Source organism: Homo sapiens, chromosome 14 (assembly GCF_000001405.40).
Source record: "Homo sapiens chromosome 14, GRCh38.p14 Primary Assembly".
Classification (NCBI taxonomy): Eukaryota; Metazoa; Chordata; class Mammalia; order Primates; family Hominidae; genus Homo; species Homo sapiens.
In genome coordinates, this window is record NC_000014.9 from 70,444,530 (window position 1) to 70,462,307 (window position 17,778).

The window sequence follows — 17,778 nt, forward strand, 5'->3', positions numbered from 1 at the left end:
CTTCAAGTCAATTAATTAGAGCTCTTTTTTAAAATAGACATCACACACTACACCTATGTAACTACACAGACAAGCAGAAGCAGATCCAGTAGTTATCAGATTTTCTGTTCTGCAATCTCTTAATTGGACTGTTCACCTCTGAGTGGGCCCTTTGAGAGCATGGCTAGGAAAGCATGCAGTTTCTAGGGCCTAAAAAACAGGTATAGCTGGAAGACAAAATCAGATTTTGAGAGGGATTCATCTGCCTCCAATTCCTGGGGCTCCGTGAGGAAAACAGAGGTCTCTCCCAAAATGGAATCTGTGGCACCTTTTCTGTTTTGCCCAAGCAGCCCCAGGCCATCAGAAATTATTTTAGGGCCTCTCATGCATGCCTTAAGGGAGAAAAAGAATTCAGCTGTCTGAGAAAAAAAAAACCTTTTTCCAACAAAACAAGATCCAAGAAGAGAAAAACATAAAGGCGTTTTAAATATACCTATAACTTGGATATCCACTTTTAGTTAAGATAAGCACTCTTTAAGAAAGTCCTTTTAAATCCCTTATTATGCAACTTTAGCCATGCCAAGCAGCCAATATTTCTAGCTTTTGAACTTTATGAAAGGTAACTTCCCAGGTGCTCACAGAAAGGAAAATTCAAGGTAGTTCATGGAGGGGAAGAGAATCAACAAATGGTAAAGGTCACAGATATCGAACCAGAAAGAACTCATTCCCTAAGCCGGGATTGAACCTGGGCCACCATTGTAAAATGGCAGAGGCTAAAACAAAGCACTGCCACATGGTTAAAGGTCATCCTTCCAAGTACATAAAATATGATGGAGGCCTTCAGCAAAGTTTGCCACTGACCAGTTTTCCAGGCTGGCTTGAGTAGAAGGCCTATAGAGTCCTAGGCCCACATCCCAACCTAAGGTACCCCTCTTTCTTACAGAACCATATAGAGAAGCATGCAAAGCACACCAGATTGGCTACAGCTTAAGACCAACCTCATGAATCCTTTTTTATAATTAAAACTCTACAAACTTTACAGAGAATATAAACAGTGATCCTTATCATTCCCTTTACCAGTTTGCACAGGAGAGTGGGGCCAAAAGCTCAACTGGTAAAATAAAAAAACCACTCTTACCCTTTTGCCAGCATGTCAGGCCCCTTTTGCCAGCATGTCAGGCTTCTGTGTTCCCTCCCCACTGAGCTCAATCCCAAGACAACTAGTTTAAAGCTTGGGAAGTTAACTTTTCCCAGTTTGGAGGCTACATCTGAGGGGAGTGTCCTGCAGCATGGGGACACAACCTTCCATCTGTGAACAGAGGACAGAGGAGGAAAAAGGAAAAATACGGCATTTTTTCAAAGGAGACCCAGGACTCAGGATGCATTCAAAGAGGTACAGATGGAAGATGAATGGCTACTCATCTAGAAAGAGAGGAGCAAGGTGTCCCCAGTTCCCTTCTTTTCCTAGCGAATACCCATGGTACATGAGGTAGAGAAAGCAAAGCATGTCTCTTTCTTTACTCCATCCTTATATTTCTGAGTTCTGGCAATCACAACAGGTTGCCACCCATGGGTATCAAAGCAGCTTTCACCCATGTTAACAGAGGGGTCTAGGGGGTGGGATCATCCTCTCTTACCCACGTATGCCCTATCTCCCCTGCTGTCAGTAGCCTTTGAGTTCCTGAACTTGGAATTGAATTTGGGACAAAAATGTTTCTGGGGGGTTGGGTTGCATGAACTCCTTATAAGCAGAATGCTAAGGTGAAGCTGTGAATTTGAGTCTTCCTCCAACAAGGGATAGAAAAGGGTGTCTTGTGAATTGGGGTCCCAACCTAGTAAAACGTCTTCTAAAAGGAAAAAAAATGCCTCTCACATAAAAGTTAACTTCTGACCTGGTGGAGAAAGGAAAAAAAAAAAACCTAAATACAACGCTGTGTTAATTGCTGAAAAATGGAGAAAAGAAAAAGATGCCTGGGGAAGAAACCTCTTATTCTTATGCAAATGAGTTTCTTCAACTGGGAGAGAAACTTTTAATTGCTATTTCTTCCCTGGGGTTTGGACTGAGCTGGACCCCTTGGCCAGGGGAGGGGAAGACGCCAGGGGTATGTGGTGGGGAACGCTGGCCAGCTGTTTGTGCAGGGCATGGGACCCTGAGGTGCCTTGGGGCCTGGGTAGTGGCTGTGGTTCATTTTTGCCCTGCGTGGCTGTTGGCCTGTGTGTGTGTGTTTGGCACGCACATGCAGCAGACACAGCCATGTGCCCCAGCCAAAAGGGAAGAGGGGCGGGGAGCAACTGCTCACCTGTCAATCCTGTACGTGTACCTGAGGCCACTGGGGTGGGGGTGAAACATCCCCAATATTGTAAAAGAAATGATAGATGCCATTACAGTTCCCCCAAAAAGAAGGAAAATGCCATAGAAAAGACTGGCTTGGACCAGGGCCAAAGTTCCTGACCCCCAAGAGTGATGGGTGTTGGGGGGCGGGGGAGCAGTTTCCTCTACCCTCAGACTTAGTGTGAGGACAAAAAGGCTCAGAAATGAAAGGGAAGGAGATTTTTGGGTCCGCACTTTACTCACCCCTCCTCATGTCCCTCTACAGGCTACCAAATGATGCAGGATTTTTTGCTCCTTAGTTCAGCTAAAATCCAGGTTTCTGTCTCACAACCAGGAAAAATTAGGCACGTGGACAAATTGAAGGATGAGGAGGGTAGATCTATTAGGCAAAAAGAAAGCTCAGCAAAGAAAGAAGTGGTCCTGCCAACATGCTACCACCTCACAGATTGAAGACCAGACCACTTCACACAAGCTGAAGAGGCCGGGCCCCTCCCCCAGCATAAGGTGTGAATTCCTGGTGGCTCCACCCCATTCTCCCAGTGAACATACAGGCCCCCAGTTCATTGTGAGCATGCCCAGGCAAGACCCTGGGCAGGTTCCCTTATCTGCCTCCTGCATCTGTCAGCTCTATCTTCCCTAATAGATGGATCGAAGTCTCAACATTGTCATCTTCTCAGAATTCTCCTTTTTCTCCTTCCTAACACAAAATGTAGTATGCCATATATACTTCTCTTAATCTTGTTTTTTAAGCTTACTGACCCTGGAAATCACTGAATATTAATGTAAAGAGATAATCCTTTTTCATTTATGACTGCATATTATTCATGATGTAGAAGCATTGCTGTTTACCTAATAGCTTTCTAATGATGGAATTAGAATTGTGCACAAACCTTTGGTAGTACACATTATCCCACAATAAACAGTTTTGTACAGATCTGATTTGATCTCTTTGGAATATAACCATTTATATTAACACCTCCCAAAAATGACATACTTAGGTATAAATCTAACAAAAGGTTTGGTATTAACTATTTCTCTATGTTCAAGTTTGCTGATAATTTTCTCTATTCTCTGTCCTGCTGTTGAGCCCATCCAGTGAGTTTGGATTTGGTTATTGTAGTTTCCAGTTCTAAAATTTCTATTACTTTCATCTTTATATTTTATATTTCTTTCCTGAGACTTTCTCATTTTTTTGTTCCAAGTCTCTATTTTTTTCATTTTAGTCAGATTTGTAATTGCTCATTGAAGCAGTTCATGATGTCTGTCTCAAAATCCTTATCAGATAATACTAACATCTGCATCATCTCAGAGTCAGCATCTGTTGTCTTTTTGTCATTCAAGTTAAGATTTTCCTGGTTTTATAAATAACTAGTGATTTTTCATTGTATTCTGTTTTTTGTATTGTTTTGAGATGGAGTCTTGCTCTGTCGCCCAGGCTGGAGTGCAGTGGCATGATCTCGGCTCACTGCAACCTCCACCTCCAGGATTCAAGTGATTCTCCTGCCTCAGCCTCCCTATTAGCTAAGATTACAGGCGCACACCACCATGCTTGGCTAATTTTGTATTTTTTGTTTTTTTTAGTAGAGACATGGTTTCACCATATTGGCCAGGCTGGTCTCAAACTCCTGACCTCATGATCCGCCCACCTTGGACTTCCAACGTGCTGGGATTACAGGCGTGAGCCACTGCGCCTGGCCTCCACTGTATTCTGAACACTTTGGGTGTTATGTTGTGAGGCCCTAGATCTTATTAAATTTTTTCTTTTATCAGGATCCTTATGATGTTGCACCAGTAGGGTAAGAATGGCATTACTTTGCTGTTGCTAAACGCTGGCATCTTTCCAGGTTCTCCACTTAATTTCTGTTGATATGCCAGGGGTAAAGGGCAGCTCACATCTGCTGTTCAAATGGAAAAGTTCATCCTCCTCTCTAGGCCTCTGTTGACGCCATCTTAGCTGGGAAGTTGAAAGATGCCTCATTACAGCTGTCCAAGTGACCTCCACTGACATTGTGAAATAGGAGCCAGTGTTTGTTTTGTGTTGCTATGAAGCAACCTGAGACTGGGTAATTTATAAAGAAAAGTGGTTTATTTGGCTCATGGTTCTGCAGGCTGTACAAGAAGCCTAGTGCTTGTATCTGCTCCTGGCGAGGTTCTCAGGAGGCTTACAATCATGACTGAAGGCAAAGGGCAAAGGGGAGCCAGTGTGTCACATGGTGAGAGAGGAAAAAAGTGAGAGAGGGAGGAGGTGCCAGGCTCTTTTAAACAACCAGATCTCACATGAACTCATAGAGGAATAACTCATTCATTACCATGAGGACACCACCAATGTATTCATGAAGGACTCACCCCCATGCTCCAAACGTGTCCCACTAGGCCCCACCTCTAACACTGGGGATTATATTTTAACATCAGACTTGGAGGGTAAAAACATCCAAACTATATCATTTTTTCCCAGGACCCCAAATTTCATGTTTTTTTTTTCACATTGCAAAACACAATTATCCCTTTTCAGTAGTCCCCTAAAGTCTGAATTCATTTTAGCATCAATTCAATTAAAAGTCCAAAGTCCAAAGTCTCATCTGATACTCAAGGCAGGTTTCTTCCACCTATGTGCCTGTAGGATTAAATGGTGGCACAGGCATTTGTCAAACATTTTCATTCCAAAAGGGATAAATTGGCCAAAAGAAAATGGGGCAACAGGCCCCATGCAAGTCTGAAGCCCAGCAGGGCAGACATTAAACCTTAAAGCTTTAAAATAATCCTTGACTCCATGTCCTGTATTCAGCCCACACTAGTGCAAGGGGTGGGCTCCCCAAGGCCTTGGGCAGCTCTGCCCCTGCGGCTTTGCAGGGTGCAGCGCCTGTGGCTGCCCTCACAGATTGGTATTGAGTGCCTGCAGTGTTTTTAGGCTAAGGGTACAAGCTGCTGGTGGCTCTATCATTCAGGGGTCTGAAGGGTGGTGGCCCTGTTCCTAGAGCTTGGCTAGGCAACCAGCTCTCATGTGAACTCATAGAGTAAGAACTCACTCATTCCTGCAAGGACAGCACCAAGCCATATATGAGGGATCCAGCCAAACACCTTCTATCACACCTCACTTGTAACATTGGGGATCATGTTTTAACATTAGATTTTGAGGGAACAAACATTCAAACTATATCAGGGCCTCATTTACTGCATGACAAGGAGGAAAGTCTCAGAACTCAACTTGACCTTCTCTGACACCACCCCAGTGAGTGGGGTGGGGGAGGGGATGCCACGTTACAGCTGGGAAGATTTGAAAGTTTAAGCTCCCCATGTGGCTTTTGCTGATGAAGTGCATGTGGGGATACAAGTTTTCCCATGACATTTGGGTGGAGAAGGATGGTTATTTTCTAAAAGTTTTCTGTCTCGCCAGACTGCTCATTTCTGAGTCCTTTGGCTACAGACAGCAAACTTCTTGAGTCTTTTTGTTCTATGTCTGTTGGCATTAAAATGTTATAGGCTTCTCCAGATTGCTTGAGGTTAAAAGAAAACTCAGGGATTCACCACCATGTTATTCCTTAGATCCCAGGGTAGGTACCTTCTCTGCATGATTTTCTCTACCTTTCTTAACCTTCTTATGTTTGTTTTCTATTTAAAATACAGTGTTTTTACTTGCACAGTAAGTCCTCACATCAGCAATAGGTTCTCAGAAACTGTGACTTTAACAGTGCAAAGTAACATACAACAAAACAAATTTTTATTTGTCTCATCAGTGTTATAATGAAACACATTGGACAAAACAATGTTATTTCAGGACCTACTGTACATTGTTTCACCTAAAGTTGCAGTTTCCAAGAACCTATTCATGACATTGAGGACTTACTATACTTACTAGGAATAATAGGAAGAAATGTGTCTACTCTATCTTTTCTGGAACCAGAAGTTCTTAGTGCTGATTCCACAAAGAAATAAATGTTGTCCGGGTGCCTGTAATCCTAGCAATTTGGGAGGCCAGATCACTTGAGCCCAGGAGTTTGAGACCAGCCTGACCAACATGGACAAACCCTATCTCTATAAAAGATACAAACAAACAAACAAACAAAAAACAGCTGCACTCCAGCCCGGGTGACAGAGTGAGACCCTGTCAAAAAAAAAAAAGAAAAAGAAAAAGAAGAAGAAGAAATAAATTTACTCCTTCTTACAGCTAGAGAGATCAAGCCAAGCTCCTTTGGGAAGGTTTCATTCTTTTCCCACCTATGGATCTTGCAGGTTACTATTTGTTCTGCCTGAAGCAGGCATTCTATTCTTCCTCAATTATCTTTCTCCCTGCGTAGAGTTTCTTCGCTCTGCTTACTAGTGCTACTGGCTTGCTACTAAGCTTTTTCCATGATTGAATGTATGTGGTTTCCTCTACTCTAATTTTTTGGGGCTATGTATACCTCATTGTAAATGATGTCTGGTATAGAAGTAGATGTTATCCACTGAGTCCAGCGGAAGACAAACCTCTTTGTATCTACCCCTCCTAAGGCAGAGGTGTCTCCAGTTTTGCATGTATGAGCAAAACAGTTTATCAAAAGGAACCTTGTCAGATTTCTAAAGAAACCAGCATAAATAGTAGAATCTTTTCCTGGCAGGAAATGGAAGGGGTCTGTAATTAAAACTGCTTCTAATTGATGGTTATCCCATGAGGCTCTGATTCTACCAGGTAAATTAGGAGTTGACAAAAATCTATAACAGAAATTCCCAAAGTTAGAGTTAATATTTTATTAAATTAGTCTTTATCCTATGTAGTTTTTATAAATTGAACTCATCTTATTGATTATATATTTTACCAAACACTATACCATAAATTCTCCACCAATCATTTTGAGCATACTTTTCTCCAAAACATTATAGTCTAATAGGAGATGCAATTTTTAAAACTCACGTATGAAACAGAAAATAGCAAGGATATAAATTTTGTCACACAAAAATGTATTGCATATTAAAGTTATAAAGAGAGTTACAGGATGTTAATGTTTTCTGGATTATTTAGGAAAGATTTGATAATGGAAGTGGAATTTGATCTTGCCCTATAAAGTTACTATAATTCAGTTCAATGGGAAAAGTGATTAGACAGTCTAGACCAATGCAATGACACCAGCAAAATTACAAACCTGTGCTGTCAGGGGACATAGACTGGAGGTGAGGAGACAACCCAATTCCAATTGTATTAAATTCGGAAGTGAGTATAGAAATGGCAGGATGAGAGCAAGATATTCTTCAGAGCCTATTATTATTTCTGTAGAATTGAAAGTTCCTTGTTGCTAAGTAGCTAAATCTAGAATTTAGTCACCTGAGAGACAAAAGGGAGAGGGCTTATGTTTCCCTTTGTTCTGTGGCCTCAGCTACAAACCATTGATAAAGCATGGTATAAACCATCTAGACAGAAATGGCCATGGAAACTACTGTTTCTTCTGATGGTAAGTCATTCATAAAGTTTGGTTCTATGCATAATTTGGTATCCAGAGTAGTCCACTGGATAATGTGAAGTCTCTTAATTTTTGTTTTGTTTTCATTTTTTTTGTTTGTTTGTTTGTTTTGAGATGGAGTCTCACTCTGTCGCCCAGGCTGGAGTGCAGTGGCGCGATCTCAGCTGACTGCAAGCTCTGCCTCCTGGGTTCACACCATTCTCCTCCCTCAGCCTCCTGAGTAGCTGGGACTGCAGGTGCCCGCCACCACGCCTGGCTGATTTTTTTGTATTTTTAGTAGAAACGGGGTTTCACCATGTTAGCCAGGATGGTCTCGATCTCCTGACCTCGTGATCCGCCCTCCTCGGCCTCCCAAAGTGCTGGTATTACAGGCGTGAGCCACCGCGCCCGGCGTGTTTTCATTTTTAAAGATATGAGTGACTTGAGCATGGATGTAGGTAGGGTGACCAACCATTCCAGTTTGGTTGAGACTGAGGGGATTGCTGGGTGCAGCACTTTCAGTTTTAAAACCAGGACAGTCCTGGGAAAATCAGGATGAGGTAGTCACCTCAATTGCCAGTAAGGAATAGATAAAGTAGTAGAAGATGAAGATGCAGTTGAGAATAGGGAAAATTAATAGAAACAGTCCTCAAGTAGGTGGGAGAGATGATCTGGAACCATGAGGGGCTAATGAGACTAGAGAGGTAGTAAGGTAGAGAAGAGGTGGATATAGGCAGATTCAGATGGTGAAAGGCCCAGAAACCATTTTATCTTTGAATTTGGCGTGTGTGTGTGTGTGTGTGTGTATCATATTCCAGAGAAAGAAATCCACTTTATATTATGACATTGTGGCTTTACACACACTTACACCCCACATATTTGGCACTGTGTGTGCAAGGTTGCTAAGGATCTTCTAGGGATGCCTTCTGATATTTCTGTTCTATTTCCTCAAGGAAAAAGACTGCAGGCTATAGCCAGCTGAATTACTTCCATGACTCTAATGGGACAGATATTAGTGACAGACAGATAGGAAAACAGTGCATTAGGGCATTGGAATAAGAGGGAAGATGGGTAGAGAGCGGTCTTGATGAATTTGAAATAGCTGTGGGGAAAGGAAGAGTTTATCAAACATGCAGAAGAGGGCTGTTGGCTCACCTGATAGTCCGCTGACATTAGAGGACATGGATTTACGGTGGTACCACTTCACAGTATCCATGGTAGAATGATGGTACTTCAGGAGCTTTGGTCTCTGTAAGTCCTAGGAATGAAGACAATGAGTCTGGTTTTAAAGATTTTTTTAAAGTTATTCTCCTGTTATTGCCTGCTCTCATGCTGAGCTCCAAGAAAAAGAATAATATGACACAGGTTGGTGTAGCTTATCAGTCCTTTCCACAACATTATATCTTTGATTAGTTCTTCCCATTTTCAATCCTCCCATCCACAACAACTGTCACTCCATAGTAAGTAGAAAACATATCAAGAGAGATATAGAGAGCAAATCTGGCAGTTAGAATTTCATCCCAATTCAGAGATCTTTGTTCTTGGAAGTTTTGCCTATGAACTTTGCTTTTCTCTTCCATGCTACTTGCACCTTGTGGAATAAGGTGCCTAACTTGCAGCAGTGAAAACTGCCCAGATGAATCCAGCCTCTTTAAGCAAGTTAATGGCAAGGATAATGTTCAGCTTGAAACAAGTTTTCCCCATCTTCCAGCATCCACATAGCCAGTCTAGGACAAGAAAAGGAAAAAAACCTTAAATACTTTATATTAGAAAGGAAAGGTACTTGGTTAACTAATTCTACTGTGATTGAGAGACAATGAGAATGGATTTTCAGCTGCTGGCACTATACATAAATGAGGAAAACTCAGAAGATTGAGGAGGTGCAAATGCAATATCCAGGAGAATAAAGAAAAGAGCAATATGGCATAGGAAGTTTTGAAATATCTACTGGATTTTATATCTCTATTCCTTAGGCTGGGGATCCAGGACAAGCCATTTCAGTTTTGATTTCTATATTCTCTTTTTAAGCCTTTCACAAACACATTGGTTTTGGGATTTTTTTTTTTTCAGAGCAGCATTAGTAGCTTTGATGTAGGAGTGGAGGAAGTATGTGAAGAATTAATGCAGTTCCTGCCCACCCCCCATTCCCCGACAATCTCTGTCACATTTAGGACTCTCTAGAGTCAAAGATTTTGGCATACAGTGCTTGAAGGGATGAAACTGGTAGCAGAGCTGAATGGATTGGAAGACAAGAACATTAAGAGAAATGGGGGATGATGAAAGAAAAGTATTTGGGTTTTCTTTGGGTTTGAGAAACAGGTATAGCAGAAGTAAGGGGGAGAGCTGGGAGAACTAAAATTGTTGGTAAATTGATTAGGATATATGAAATTTTTTGTGTGTTGACAAGGTATACATTATGACTATGAGTGGGTGGGCTGAATTACACTGAAGATGAATTGAAGAGGTTAAAAAAAACTTTAAAAAACCCTGTCTTGTTTTCAGATGGGTTTTCTATATACTTGCTAATATTACTTTAAGTTGAGGGTAGGAATTTTGGTGGAGAATAATTTTATCAGTCAGAGGCCAGAGCCTTTGAATTTTGTCCAAGTGTGATAAGGGTGGTTGAAGAGACATCTAAAAATAGTGTAGTCAGATATTGCAGGATAAATGATTTGGTGTTCATGTTGTGGGCTGTGGAGAACAGGAACTCTGGTCCTTGTGGTGCATGTGACTTCTGAGGATGGAGTTTCTCAAGAGGAAGCCTTTAGGCAAGCAGTAAATTCTATTAAAGCTCAGGTTCAATACGGTAAGTAGATGTAGGGAGCTTTCTGTGAAGAGGTACAGGATGGAGTTGGTTCTCTCTCTCTCTCCTTTTGTCTTTAAAGGAAGACTCCAGAAAGCACAAGGGAAGGTATAAGAAGAGAATATAAGGAAACTTGAATCAGGGCAAAGAAAGCATTGATTAGAAATGGATTCAAAATCCAGGAGATGATTGGTGTTGGGTCAGGCATGTTCATTTTTATATCTTCTGTGTAAGTCCTCTTAGATTAGCTTGATTTAAGTGCTTTTCCTTTTTGTTCTTATAAGAAATAGCACCTACCTTCATCAATATGTTGATCACAGTCAGAGGTGAAATTAAGTTTTTGGGCCTGATGCACGTACAAGATGAGGGGCCCACTTTAAGAAAAATAATACCAAGTTACAATTGCAGAAAATAAGTATGAAAATGAGGATTTATTTAGCATAAGAAAGAAGCTGCAACAAATTATAAATATTAAAAGGTTGAAAACACCATAAACATCACAAAATTTAATCCCCTCAGTATTACATTAATCAACTTCCTAACTCACTTTTATGATACCTTTTCCCTATAGTTTTTAAATTGCTTATTTAATTACCTCCCTTAAGAGAATTATTTTGTTATAATTTCTACGGCAAGAACTGAAAGGCATTTGCCTTTCCCTAGTATGTTTAATAAAAATTCATTTTGTATTATTAATAGTTTAGAAAAGAAAATTCAGCTTCACAGCTTGTTATTGGTAATGAGATAAATAATTAAATTTACTATTGTCAAATTTTAGAAAACCTCTATTAAGTCTTTTATGTATGCGATGTAATATTTCAGGGTGTTTGAGATTTTTCTTGTATAGTGACTAATTTTGATTACTCATAATTATATGACTTTCATAAAGTCCATTGCTGAGCCCCTTACAGGGTCTTTATAGAGGTCTGTACAGTGAGGATCCCTGAAGCATAAACTTTGTCTGGTTTTGATCATATTATATTATAATTATCTGTTTTTTGTTTGTTTCTACACATGCTCAGTGCTTACTAGCCTCACTTTTGACAGTCATTTGAGACTATGATGAAATATATGGATACTCTCCTCAGCAAAAAAAGTCATGAAATACATAAAATATTGAATACAATATTACTGACCTCCTAAAGCTTATTCTTGCTCCTGCCACAGTTTCTGCACTAAATTGATAATTTATTTAATGCTCTGTATTTTGATTTTCTTTCTCTAATATCTAGCACAATGTCCTGCACTTTGTATGCTCCAAACACATAAAGACTTGTTTAATAAATAGAAAAAGAAATGGATAAGTGTTGCCAGCCAGACTGTATGACAGGTGCAGAAATTCCCCACTTTCAAAAACTGTTGGTAAATATATTTGAGCAAACACTCAGACTCTTCCCTGGCGATCCTAAAATACTAGACTCTACAATGGTTTTTGCCCTAATAAGAAAAGAGTTCCTTTTCGGAAGACCTTTAAACTGCATAGATTCTCATTTTCTCTTCTGAAAGCATTTCGTTTTGTCTTTGGGACTCTCCTGTAGCTAACTGGAGAGAACAACATTATTCTCTCCATACCCTTAAATGATGTCAGTGTTTCATGAATTTTCTTTTCTAAAAATTATACTACAATATGAACACATTTTAGTAGCATTCACTTATAATCCAAGACATTTTGCAATCCCTCCTCCGTTTTTCCATTTTTCATTGTACATAGAGCTATATGAGGCATTACAGAGGATACTAAAATGAACGAAAATCATAAACCCTGCAGTCAAGAATCTTTCAGTCTAATGAAGTTATGAGTAAAGATGAATACAATGAGGAATAGTAAATAACTTTGAGATAAAGAAACTAAAGTATATCATAAGACTGATGCAACTTGACACAGAATTGTGATTATTTTTGATGTCTCCAGTTTTGATAGTCAAAGGAGACACTATCAATAGATATTGCAAGGGCAACAGGCATAAACTAATATTATCTTGGACAATTTGATATATAGAGTCACCCTACTCTTAAGTTTCTTTACTTTTGCTTTTACTTTTTATTATGGACATTCCATACTGCCTGTAAAGACTGAGATAACTATTTAAGTACCCATCTTCCAACTTCAACTATTATCACCACGTGGCCAATGTTGTCTCCTCTATACCCCCTAAATCCCCACCCTCATTTACTAAAAGCAAATCCAAAGCATTTTCTTGATTCATCAACCAGTTTTTCACTACTTCATTCTTTTTCTCTCCTGATTCCTTACTTATCACCTTTCCAACCCATCTTTTTATTTTTACTTCCAGCACTGCAGTTCTGATCTAACTCTGCCAGGACACAGATCCACAGGGTCAGCCCTGCATCCTGAGCAGCTTAGAGGGAGAAGCCAGACCAGCAGTGCCTCACACCTTGTCCTCTTCTGCTCTGGACAGATGGCTCCATAACGACAGCTTCATAATGGCAGTGGATGGGACCCTCGTGTACATCAGAGTCACTCTTCTGCTGCTCTGGCTTGGGGTATTTTTGTCTATTTCCGGCTACTGTCAGGCTGGGCCCTCCCAGCATTTCACTTCCCCGGAAGTGGTGATCCCCTTGAAGGTGATCAGCAGGGGCAGAAGTGCAAAGGCTCCTGGATGGCTCTCCTATAGTCTGCGGTTTGGGGGCCAGAAACACGTTGTTCATATGAGGGTCAAGAAGCTCTTAGTTTCTAGACACCTCCCAGTGTTCACCTACACAGATGACCGTGCACTCCTGGAGGATCAGCTCTTCATCCCAGATGACTGTTACTATCATGGTTACGTGGAGGCAGCCCCTGAGTCTCTGGTTGTGTTCAGTGCTTGTTTTGGGGGCTTTCGAGGAGTATTAAAAATAAGTGGCCTCACTTATGAAATTGAACCCATCAGGCACTCTGCCACATTTGAACACCTGGTTTATAAGATAAACAGTAATGAGACACAATTCCCAGCTATGAGATGTGGCTTAACAGAGAAGGAAGTAGCACGCCAACAGTTGGAATTTGAAGAGGCTGAGAACTCAGCTCTGGAACCAAAATCTGCTGGTGACTGGTGGACTCATGCATGGTTTCTGGAGCTAGTTGTTGTGGTGAACCATGATTTCTTCATTTACTCTCAAAGCAACATCTCAAAGGTGCAAGAGGATGTATTTCTTGTTGTCAACATAGTGGATTCCATGTATAAGCAGTTAGGTACTTACATAATTTTGATTGGAATTGAAATTTGGAATCAAGGAAATGTTTTCCCAATGACAAGCATAGAACAGGTCCTGAACGATTTCTCTCAATGGAAACAAATCAGTCTTTCCCAGCTACAGCATGATGCTGCACATATGTTCATAAAAAATTCACTTATAAGTATACTTGGCCTAGCCTATGTTGCAGGAATATGTCGTCCACCTATTGATTGTGGAGTTGATAATTTTCAAGGAGATACCTGGTCTCTTTTTGCCAACACTGTGGCCCATGAGTTAGGTCATACGTTAGGTATGCAGCATGATGAAGAATTCTGTTTTTGTGGGGAAAGAGGTTGCATCATGAATACTTTTAGAGTGCCAGCAGAGAAATTCACCAATTGCAGTTACGCTGATTTTATGAAGACCACCTTAAACCAGGGATCATGTCTGCATAATCCTCCAAGATTGGGGGAAATCTTTATGCTAAAGCGCTGTGGGAATGGTGTGGTTGAAAGAGAAGAGCAGTGTGACTGTGGATCCGTACAGCAGTGTGAACAAGACGCCTGTTGTCTGTTGAACTGCACTCTAAGGCCTGGGGCTGCCTGTGCTTTTGGGCTTTGTTGCAAAGACTGCAAGTTCATGCCATCAGGGGAACTCTGTAGACAAGAGGTCAATGAATGTGACCTTCCAGAATGGTGCAATGGAACATCTCATCAGTGTCCAGAAGATAGATATGTGCAGGACGGGATCCCCTGTAGTGACAGTGCCTACTGCTATCAAAAGAGGTGTAATAACCATGACCAGCATTGCAGGGAGATTTTTGGTAAAGATGCAAAAAGTGCATCTCAGAATTGCTATAAAGAAATCAATTCTCAGGGAAACCGTTTTGGTCACTGTGGTATAAATGGCACAACATACCTAAAATGTCATATCTCTGATGTCTTTTGTGGGAGAGTTCAATGTGAGAATGTGAGAGACATTCCTCTTCTCCAAGATCATTTTACTTTGCAGCACACTCATATCAATGGTGTCACCTGCTGGGGTATTGACTATCATTTAAGGATGAACATATCTGACATTGGTGAAGTGAAAGATGGTACTGTGTGTGGCCCAGGAAAGATCTGCATCCATAAGAAGTGTGTCAGTCTGTCTGTCTTGTCACATGTCTGCCTTCCTGAGACCTGCAATATGAAGGGGATCTGCAATAACAAACATCACTGCCACTGTGGCTATGGGTGGTCCCCACCCTACTGCCAGCACAGAGGCTATGGGGGCAGTATTGACAGTGGCCCAGCATCTGCAAAGAGAGGAGTTTTTTTGCCGCTGATTGTGATTCCTTCTTTGTCTGTTTTGACTTTCCTGTTTACTGTCGGGCTTCTTATGTATCTACGACAATGTTCTGGTCCCAAAGAAACTAAGGCTCATTCATCAGGTTAAGAAAATGTCTCTAACTTAATATTCCATGCATTAGTACACTTTAGTCTCTTGGCAGTAGAAACATTAGTACATCCCTGAAACTGAGCACATTTCTGACCATTTCCAGAAAGCTGCAAAGATCTTCCCTTACATTAGTACCACAAACATTGTCATTAAGTTCAAGTTATTCTTAACATGTTTCTATCTATTGTTTATTGTTTTAAGCAGCAAATAAAGCTACATCCTTCCCTCCCTTTAGTCCTTGTTGTGTTTCTTGTGCATAGAGATGACTTATGGGAAATGTATGAGATGTTTCTGCCTCAGAGTGTCCAGGGGTGAGGCTTACCTCTCTACTGACATTTATCAATGTGGGAAAATTACTTAAATTTTCTGATGTTCTGCTTCAAAATCTGAAAAGGGGTAGGGTTCATAATAATATTTGTCCCACCCAACTTCTTGGTTTTATTTGGTAACCAAAAGAGAGAAATAAGTGAATTTTTGTTAAGTATAAACAGATTGTTATCTGATGAAATCTCCTGATCTTGCTCCCTGTGTGCTTCCTAGCTCTTTGTCTTAATTTGGCAGTTTGGATATCCTTTTGGAGCATTTGCTTGCTTCACATACCAAAATATAATCTCCATGAGGGTGGGGTTGTTTTCATCTGTTTTGCTCATCATTGTATCCTTGATAGCCGGAACAGTGCACAGTGCTTACTACACAATAAATACTTAAATGAAATCATGAATCTGAATGGAGTATTAAATAAATGAAATTATGAAAAGTAAAAATAATATTTTGATACCTTGGGATGTCATTCTGATCCTCTTTTTTAAACTACTGGAGCTCTTGCTCAAAATTAAACTTTGAATATTTAAAATGCTGCTGTTTGTACCTGGTGCAGTTTGCTGGTCTTTTCTTCCCCCAGTGTATCTTCTCCGTCTATTCTCAGTGTTTTTGGAAAGCCTGTCTCTTGAAAACACAGAGTGAGTCAGATACCCTTTGTATTGATCAGTTAACTTCTGAATGGCACTCTGTAAATTGAGTCAAAATACCTTTTGCATATCATTTTTCATTATGCTTTGCCAACTTTGCATCTTCTATCTATTTCATGTTTAGAATATATTTGGCTGTGTCATTCTCTGCATATTTGTACATGAAATCCCCATTCCCAAAATGCTGTTTACCACCCTGCCCCTACTCCCTTGCCCTGGAAAACTCCTATTTTCTCTCAATAGAGGTTAAATGTTATATCTTCGTAGAAGCATTCCTTATGAAATGGTAAGTGTTCCACTTGTGTGCCCCATCACTTTGTGGTCACCCCTTTATGATTTGATGTCCTCTAGGAATAGAGATGGAGAGGGTCCAACAATGTGCTAGCAAAAAGAAGCAGAGGACAGCTACTGGAGCCATACAAGGAGGGAGGAGTGAATCAAGAATACAATCTGGTCAAATCAGAGAAAGCTCCACATGTTGTAAGTGTACACATCCATATGGAGACAAAAGATAGCTGCTCCAGTTTATTGGTTCTTTTTTGAAAAGCTTTATGGTAAAAAGCCATTGAAGTTGATTACGGTAAAATTTGTCAGCCTAATGTTCTTTTATATTTGCCGAGTTTTGTATTTCTGCTTGAGATTACTTTTCTGGGATTATGTTGGTTTCAGCTCTTATGCTTAATTGTGGAATTTATTTTGCTATAAGGAATGAGATAGGTATCTAATTGTATACTTTTCCAAATGGGTAGCCTGTTGTCCTGATACACTTCATAGAATAAATCCTTTATCACTGCTTTGCTGGTAAATTGGTATCCTGTATTGTATTTTAAAGTTAATTTGTTAGAGTCACCTTATTTTACTTGTAAATTTTTACAAGAAGCAGTGCATTTTGCAATATTCTTATTTTAAGAAAAGCTGCATAGTTATTTTATATTCATTGAGTTAATTAGAGCTATATCAGTCAATTATATCAGGATTGGTGGGTAGAATTAACCTTTTTATAAGAAGCATAGAGTCTTACCACCTGTTTTAATTTGGATTGCCCAAAAAGCAGACCCAGAGACAAGGATTTAGGTGGAGTTAGTTTTCTGGGGAAGCACAAAACAGGGCAGACTAATGAACAAGTTTTCTCTGTGTACTACTGGAGTCATCCCTGTAGGCTTTCTGAGAAGTCATGTGAAACACACCTTTGATTAATATTCCATGGTTCAGGAGAAAGCTGTAAGGAAAAGAATATCTGAGATATAAGCATGTGAAGTAGTAAACTCTCAGAGCATGAAGATTGTCTACTGTGGCTGCAAGTGAACTCAAGTGGGACAAGAAGATGGAGGGTGAGCTTTCAGCATCTACTGTACCCAGGTTCCTTAGAAAACATATGCTGAAGCAAGGAATAAATCTAAATGGTTTATTTGGAAAATACAATCCTAGGGAAATGAGAGTAAAAGTAAAGGTATTTAGGGCTGGAAAGTATGGTACAGCAGATTCTAGTGGTACCTGCCTGTATCCTCTTAGGCTGAACCTTGAGGTTGTCTGTAGTACTGATGACAACTATGTACACTAATGGCATTCTACTTTATGGGGGTGAGCTCAGCCCATTGATGGAGCAGGCTGGAAGCAAGAAGGAGTTAACGCATGTGAAAGCAACTCTCAACTGATAAGAAATGTGTG

General features: G+C 40.3%; 1 protein-coding gene across 1 annotated transcript; it reads left to right on the forward strand.

Annotated features, from left to right (window-relative positions):
* Window positions 1–7,644: 7,644 nt before the first annotated feature.
* Window positions 7,645–15,376, forward strand: ADAM21 (ADAM metallopeptidase domain 21). Its single transcript, NM_003813.4, has 2 exons — window positions 7,645–7,734; window positions 12,820–15,376. The coding sequence occupies exon 2, from the start codon at window positions 12,971–12,973 to the stop codon at window positions 15,137–15,139; it is 2,169 nt and encodes a 722-aa protein (NP_003804.2). The 5' UTR covers window positions 7,645–7,734; window positions 12,820–12,970; the 3' UTR covers window positions 15,140–15,376.
* Window positions 15,377–17,778: the final 2,402 nt, after the last annotated feature.